The sequence below is a fragment of the Homo sapiens genome, chromosome 19, assembly GCF_000001405.40.
Source record: "Homo sapiens chromosome 19, GRCh38.p14 Primary Assembly".
NCBI classification, from domain to species: Eukaryota; Metazoa; Chordata; class Mammalia; order Primates; family Hominidae; genus Homo; species Homo sapiens.
In genome coordinates this window covers 46,429,099-46,437,171 of record NC_000019.10, presented here as the reverse complement: position 1 = coordinate 46,437,171, position 8,073 = coordinate 46,429,099, and the positions used below count along the sequence as shown (strand labels likewise).

The window sequence follows — 8,073 nt, the reverse complement described above, 5'->3', positions numbered from 1 at the left end:
TAACATGGTGAAACCCCGTCTCTACTAAAAATACAAAAAATTAGCCAGGCGTGGTGGCAGGCGCCTGTAGTCCCAGCTACTTGGGAGGCTGAGGCAGGAGAATGGCATGAACCTGAGAGGCGGAGCTTGCAGTGAGCTGAGATCGGCCACTGCACTGTAGCCTGGGTGACAGAATGAGACTGCATCTCAAAAAAAAAAAAAGCCACCAACAAAAAACAAGTAACTAAGCTATTACATGTGGTGTGATAATATGCTAATTTCCTTTATCTGTAAAGCTTTTTTACTCTTCAGCAAAAAAGGAAACCCCATTTTTTAATAAAAATGGGTAAAAGATACAAACAGAAAATTCATGGAAAAAAATTAAGCTAAATCAAATTGTAAAAATCTCGGCCAGGCGTGGTAGCTCATGCCTGTAATCCCAGCACTTTGGGAGGTCGAGGTGGGCAGATCACCTAAGCTCAGGAGTTCGAGATCAGCCTGGCCAACATGGAGAAACCCCCCTCTCTACCAAAAATACAAAAATTAGCTGGGCGTAATGGTGGGGACCTGTAATTCCAGCTACTCGGGAGGCTGAGGCAGGAGAATCACTTGAACCTGGGAGGCGGATGTTGCAGTGAGCTGAGATCCCGCCATTGCACTCCAGCCTGGGTGACAGAGCGAGGCTCCGTCTCAAAAAAAAAAAAAAAAAAAAAAAAAAAAAAAAGGCCAGGCGCGGTGGCTCACGCCTGTAATCCCAGCACTTTGGGAGGCTGAGGCGGGCGGATCACGAGGTTAGGAGATCGAGACCGTCCTGGCTAACGTGGTGAAACCCCGTCTCTACTAAAAAAAATACAAAAAATTAGCCAGGCGTGGTGGCGGGCACCTGTAGTCCCCGCTACTCGGGAGGCTGAGGCAGGAGAATGGAGTGAACCCGGGAGGCGGAAGTTGCAGTGAGCCAAGATCGCGCCACTGCACTCCAGGCTGGGCCACAGAGCGAGAGTTCGTCCCCCCAAAAAAAAAAAACAAAACTCATTTGGCCAGGCATAATGGCTCATACCTGTAATCCCAGCACTTTGGGAGACTGAGCCAGGAGGATTGCTTGAGCTCAGGAGTTTGAGACCAGCCTGGGCAACATAGTGAGACTCTGTCTCTACAAAAAAAAAAAAAAAAAAAAATTAAGTTAGCTAGGTGTGGTGGCATGCGCCTATAGTCTCGGTTACTCAGGAGGCTGAGGTGGGAAGATTGCTTGAGCCTGGGAGGTTGAGGCTGCAGTGAGCCATGATTGCGCCACTGCATTCCGGCCTGGGCAACAGAGCAAGACCCTATCTCAAAAAAAAAAAATCTCACTAGCTGTGTGGCCCCAGGTAAGTGATTTAACCTCTCTGGTCCTCAGTTTTCCTGACTATAAGATACAGGAACTATTCAATAAATACTTGTTGAATGAATAAATGATTGAATCAATAAAACATCTAACTCATGGACTGTTGTAAAAATTAGATGACTTAGTACACATAGAAGGCTTAGAATATTTTAGTATGCCCTATGCAAAAGTTAGCAGTTATTACTTTTTAAAATAGTATTATTTGTGGTTATTATATGCATCCATCAAGATTTCTCTCAAATGTCACCTCCTGCGGGAAGCCTTCCCAGATGAGACCAGACAGATGAATTCCTTTATGGAGAATTAATCAGAGACGTTGAAGAGTGAATTAATAAAAAGGTTACTGATACAGTAATTATGTCAGTCAGGTATCTCAGGGCCGCCAAAGGACTTTATGCGGTTCTCTCTTTAAACTCTAGCAAAACATGTTCCAGGAAAACTAAGCCCACTTGATATATTCTGTATTCTACACCCCACACCAGGATCGGAACACATCGTAGTAATTATAGGGCTTCTCTCCCTGCCTGTAAACAGACTGAGCCAGCCTGTCGTAACCACTGGACTGAGCTCCTCAAAGCAGAGCCTGTCTCCCTCACTCAAGTATGCCCAGCACGTTACCCAAGCCTAGAACAAGGACACTTCTCAGTAAATCCTGGTGGATCAAATAAATGAACCATTCTCTTCCCTTGCTTCTCAATTGGGAACATGCATAAGCCCAGGGATATGCAATGGCGTGTCAAGGATTCATAAACTCGTGGCAAATATTTTGGATCAACAATTTTACTTCATCTTTGGAAGGAAAACTCATCTTTGTATTAAAATGGTCATGTCATGGAGTCGAATGTGAATTTTTTTTTTTTTTTTTTTTTTGAGACAGAGTCTCACTCTGTCACCCAGGCTGGAGTGCAGTGGCGCAATCTTGGCTCACTGCAATCTCCACCTGCCAGGTTCAAGTGATTCTCCTGCCTCAGTCTCCCAAGTAGCTGGGATTACTGGTGTGTGCCAACACACCCGGCTAATTTTTGTATTTTTACCAGAGATGGGGTTTTGTCATGTTGGCCAGGCTGGTCTCGAACTCCTGACCTCAGGTAATCCACCCGCCTCAGCCTCCCAAAGTGCTGGGATTACAGGTGTGAGTCACCACGCCCGGCTCGAATGCAAAATTTTTTATGACAAAATTAGACTTAAAAGAAATCTCTGTGGAAGAGCTGGTTCCTAAAACCCCTAAATGAGAGGGCACACTTCCCTTGTTTTCTCTCTACTGGAAAACCTGAAAAGTAGTATGTTAGTGCAACTGATGTTTATAAAGGAAGAGTCATGGTTGTTCAGGATTGGTCCGTGTTAAGCAGAAGGAGGTCTGCTATGAGCCACGTGGGATAAGAAACATTATGTGATTGGATCTTAGACAATTGGGGGTGAATCTGGGGAGGTGAGGACCCAGAAAGGGATGGTGGTCAAAACTAAAATAAGATAAAGATATCCATCTCACCCCAGTTAAAATAGCTTATATCTGGCCAGATGCAATTGCTCACGCCTGTAATCCCAGCACTTTGGGAGGCTGAGGCGGGCAGATCACCTGGGGTCGGGAGTTCACGACCAGCCTGACCAACATGGAGAAACGCTGTCTCTACCAAAAATACAAAAAATTAGCCAGGCGTGGTGGAGCATGCCTGTAATCCCAGCTACTCATGAGGCTGAGGCAGGAGAATTGCTTGAACCTGAGAGGCGGAGGTTGCAGTGAGCCGAGATTGCACCATTGCACTCCAGCCTGGGCAACAAGAGTGAAACTCCGTCTCAAAAAAAAAAAAAAAAGCTTATATCCAAAAGACAGCAAAGAACAAATGCTGGTGGAGAAAAGGGAACCCTCATACTCTGTTGGTGGGAATGTAAATTGGAGGTTCCTCAAAACTAAAAATTAAGCTAAAAATTGATCCTGCCATCCCACTGCTGGGTATATACCCAAAAGAAAGGAAATCAGTAGATTAAGGAGATCTCTGCACTCCCATATTTTTTGCAGCACTGTCCACGACAGTGAAGATTTGGAAACAACCTGAGTGTCCATCAACAGAAGAATGGATACAGAAAATGTGGTGCTTATACACAATGGAGTACTATTCAGCCATGAAAAAGAATGAGATCCTGCCATTTGCAAAAACGTGGATGGAACTGGAGGTCATTATGTTAAGTGAAATAAGCCAGGCACAGAAAGACAAACGGCATGTTCTCATTTATTTGTGGGAATTAAAATAATCAAAACAATTGAACGAGGACAGGCATGTTGGCTCACGCCTGTAATCCCAGCACTCTGGGAGGCCGAGGCGGGTGGATCACTTGAGGTCAGGAGTTCCAGACCAGCCTGGCTGACATGGTGAAACCCCATCTCTACTAATACAAAAATTAGCCAGGCGTGGTGGCGCGTGCCTGTAATCTCAGCTGCTAGGGAGGCTGAGGCATGAGAATCACTTGAACCTGGGAGGCAGAGGTTGCAGTGAGCCAAGATCGCACCATTACACTCCAGCCTGGGCGACAGAGTGAGACTCCATCTCGAAACAAAACAAAACAAAAAAAGCAGTTTTTTTTTTTTTTTTAACATATAGACAGAAGGTTACCAGAGGCTGGGAAGGGTCGTCGGCGGGATGGATGGGGGAGGTGGGGATGGTTAATGGGTACAATACTCAACACAAATAGAAAGAATGAATAAGACATACTATTTGATAGCACAACAGGATGACTATTGTTAATAATAATAGTACATTTCAAAATAGCTAAATGAATGTAATTGGATTGTTTGTCACACAAAGGATAAGTTCTTAAGGGGATGGCGACTTCATTCTCCACAATGTGATTATTTCTCATTGCATGCCTGTATCAAATATCTTGTGAACCCCATACATATATACAGCTACCATGTACCCGCACAATTAAAAATTAAAAATTTAAAAATAAACTATATTCGTGATGGCAAAATAATAATAATAATATAGGGATGGCGAGATCTTGTTTAAAAGTTACTGAGGCTGGGCGTGGTGGCTCAGGCCTGTAATCCCAACACTTTGGGAGGCCGAGGTGGGAGAATCACTTGAACTCAGGAGTTTGATACCAGCCTGGGCAACATAGAGAGACCCTTATCTCCAAAAAAAAAAAAAAAAAAAAAAAATTACTAACCAGGGAGCGCTAGGGTTGCTGGAGGAGGGGTGTATCAAAGTTTTTTTTTCTGTGACTAGTATTGGGTTTTAAGTCTCTGTAGGCCAGTCTGCTGGGCAATTTAGAAACTGAACCGGGACAGAGAGGACAAATTGGAACCTACAAGAACAATCTAGGCCAGGTGCGGTGGCTCACTCCTGCAATCCCAGCATTTTTGGAGATTGAGGCAGGCGGATCATTTGAAGTCAGGAGTTCGAGACCAGCCTGGCCAACATGGTGAAACCCCATCTCTATGAAAATACAAAAATTAGCTGGGCATGATGGCGGGTGCCTGTAATCCCAGCTACTCAGGAGGCTGAGGCCGGAGAATCGCTTGAACCCGGGAGGTGGAGGTTGCAGTGAGCAGAGATGGCACCATTGCATTCCAGCCTGAGCAACAGAGCGAGATTCCGTCTCAAAAAAAAAAAAAAAAAAAAAAAAAAATTAGAATCCTTGAAGACAAACTGGAACCCCCGCCCCCAACCAACGTCTCTTTTCCCACCTTCAACCTCAATTCCACGCTTGACCTGCAGGGGAAGCTGGTGCCTTTTGCCCCCACAGAGCTGCTCCGGTGCTGGCCCCAAGTTCACCGACGCTGAAAAGGAGACCGGCAGGAGCAGGTGGAGTCCCAGAGGCTGCCCCAAGCCAATAAGGTGAGCCCACAGACCAGTCATGAAATGCATGAGCCATGTGGCACCCTGTGCAGACCTTCTCACAGCACCAGCCGCTGTGTAAATCTAATGCACATTTCTCTTTTAGACGACTCTAACCAACAGCCACCTGCAGAAAGCTATTCTAGGACACACAAGCCCAGCTTAGCTAAACTGGCACTGAACAAAATCAACATACAGCCCAGAGAGGGAACTGTCATCCAGAAACTTCACGACAGAACAGGAACTAAGCCGCGTGACACAATATGGGACCCCTTTCTCAGGGAACTCCATGGTATTGTATAATGTTAAATCTGTGCGCCCAGGAGTCAGGGTGCTGAGGCGGGAAGTCTAGCTTTGCCATTCACTAGCTGTGTGACCTTAGGTAAGTGAATTAACCTCTCTGATCTTCGGTTTTCCTGACTATAAAACCGGAGGCATCAGGCCGGGCGCGGTGGCTCACGCCTGTAATCCCAGCACTTTGAGAGGCCAAGACGTGCAGATCACGAGGTCAGGAGATCGAGACCATCCTGGCTAACACGGTAAAACCCCGTCTCTACTAAAAATACAAAAAAATTAGCCGGGCCTAGTGGTGGGCGCCTGTAGTCCCAGCTACTCGGGAGGCTGAGGCAGAAGAATGGCGTGAACCCGGGAGGCGGAGCTTGCAGTGAGCCGAGATCGTGCCATTGTACTCTAGCCTGGGCAACAAGAGCAAAACTCCATCTCAGGAAAAAAAAAAATCTAGTATTGATGAGCATGTGGCGAAACTGGATTTTTTTTTTTTACACTGTTTGGTGGGAGAATAAAATGGTACGACCAGTTTGGGAAACTTGTAGAATCTGCTAAGGCATTTGTTCAGGCTTAAAACTAATGGATATGTACATATATGTTCACCAAGAAACATAGACCACGTAATATGTGATTCCATTTATGTAAAATACAAAAACAGGCAAAACTAACCTATGCTGTTGAAAGTCAAGATAGTGGCTTCCCTTAAGAGGATATAGTGATTTGGAGAAAGCACAGGATATCCTCTGGGAATGCTATGATGTTCATTTACTGATTTGGGTGCTGGTTACACCATGTGTTCAGTTAATGGATTTTCATTTATAATTCGTGCACTTCTGACTACGTGTAAAAACAAAGTTTCAGGGGATGTCGGTTTCAGGTGTTGTTTGATCCTGAGGCATATGATGTCTTCCTGACTATGGCCTGGTTTCTGGTTGTTCCCTCAACTCTGCCTTCCTCTAGATGCAAAGTTCATCCTCAAAGTGTTTATTGGCTGGACGCGGTGGTTCATGCCTGTAAGCCCAGCACTTTGGGAGGCCGGGGCAGGTGGATCACTTGAGGTCAGGAGTTTGAGACCAGCCTGGACAACATGGTGAAACCCTGTCTCTACTAAAAACACAAAAAGTTAGCCGGGCGTGGTGGCGGGCGCCTGTAATCTCAGCTGTTTTACAGGCTGGGGCAGGAGAATTGCTTGAACCTGAGAGGTTGAGGTTGCAGTGAGTCGAGATCGCGCCACTGCACTCCAGCCTGGGCGACAGAGCAAGACTCTGTCTGAAAGAAAGAAGGAAAGAAAGAAAAAAGAAGGAAGGAAGGAAGGAAGGAAGGAAGGAAGGAAGGAAGGAAGGAAGAGAGTTTGTCATGCTTCCAAGACAGCCTCCTGTAGCTCCTATACTTAGTCTTTCACGTCTAGGAGGAAAGAGAGAGTCTTCCTCCGCTTACCAGTTGCAGAAATCCTTACCTTCATTCTGACTGGACTTACTGAGTTCACGTGTCTAACCTTTAACCAATCTCAGAGAAGAGGGGCATATTAAGCACTAATTGCTTTTTGTCCAGGTTACCTGGGTGACCATTTCTGAACCAATCACTGTGGGAAGGAGGGTGAGATTATGCTAATTGGTTCAAGCCAATCAGGGCTTATCCCTGGAACTGGGGGTATAAAGGGTGTCGACCTAACCCAAATGTTTTGGCTTTATTAATGGGGACTGGGGAGGAGAGGAATAGACATTGTGGATGTCATCACATGGGGGAGACATTTCTTATTTATTTTTAAACATTTATTTGAAACAACCATAAACCTACAGAAGAGTTGCAAATATAGTATAAAGAATGTTTTCGCGGCCAGGTGCAATGGCTGTGGCCTGTAATCCTAGCATTTTGGGAGGCCGAAGTGGATGGATCACCTGAGGTTGGGAGTTCAAGACCAGCCTGGCCGACATGGTGAAACTACATCTCTACTAAAAATACAAAAATTAGCTGAGCTTGGTGGCACATGCCTGTAATCCCAGCTACTTGGGAAGCTGAGGCAGGAGAATCGCTTGAACTGGGGAGGCAGAGGTTGCAATGAGCCAAGATCGGGCCACTGCACTCTAGCCTGGGCAACAGAGGGAGACTTCATCTCAAAAAAAAAAAAAAAAAAAAAAGAATGTTTTATCCTCTGAAGCATTTTGAGTCTAAATTGTCATATCGCTCTGAATATTATAGTGTGTGTGTGTGTGTGTGTGTGTGTCCTACATGCAAGAACATTCCACTGTAAAGATACATTTGTTCCCTTTGATGAGTATTATATGGGCAGGTACTTTGATAGTTCACATTCTTCACCAAACTTTGCATTCACGTGCTTATATCTACATCAACTCATAGATTCTAATTTTATTCAAGGGGTTATAATCTGTTACTTTCATTTTTAACGTTGATGCTCAAATTGTCCCAGGGTTGGCCAGTGGGAGCATTTCAGGCTGGTTCCTCTGTCTTTCCAGGTGTTCTCATTTTTTTTTTTTAATCACTTCCTTACTTTCTGACCCCAAAAGATGCCCCGGGTGCCTCTTGTACATTCGCTGTCCCCTCACCCCTGGAATCGGCTATTATTCAAAG

The 8,073-nt window shown here is 45.2% G+C and overlaps 1 annotated feature.

The window, feature by feature from the left end:
* Nucleotides 2,594-2,794: a silencer, noted in NCBI's record as "peak3522 fragment used in MPRA reporter construct". NCBI's record gives its function as "represses an SCP1 promoter by STARR-seq MPRAs in K562 erythroleukemia cells {active_cell/tissue: K562}" and the evidence as "EXISTENCE:reporter gene assay evidence [ECO:0000049][PMID:32103011]".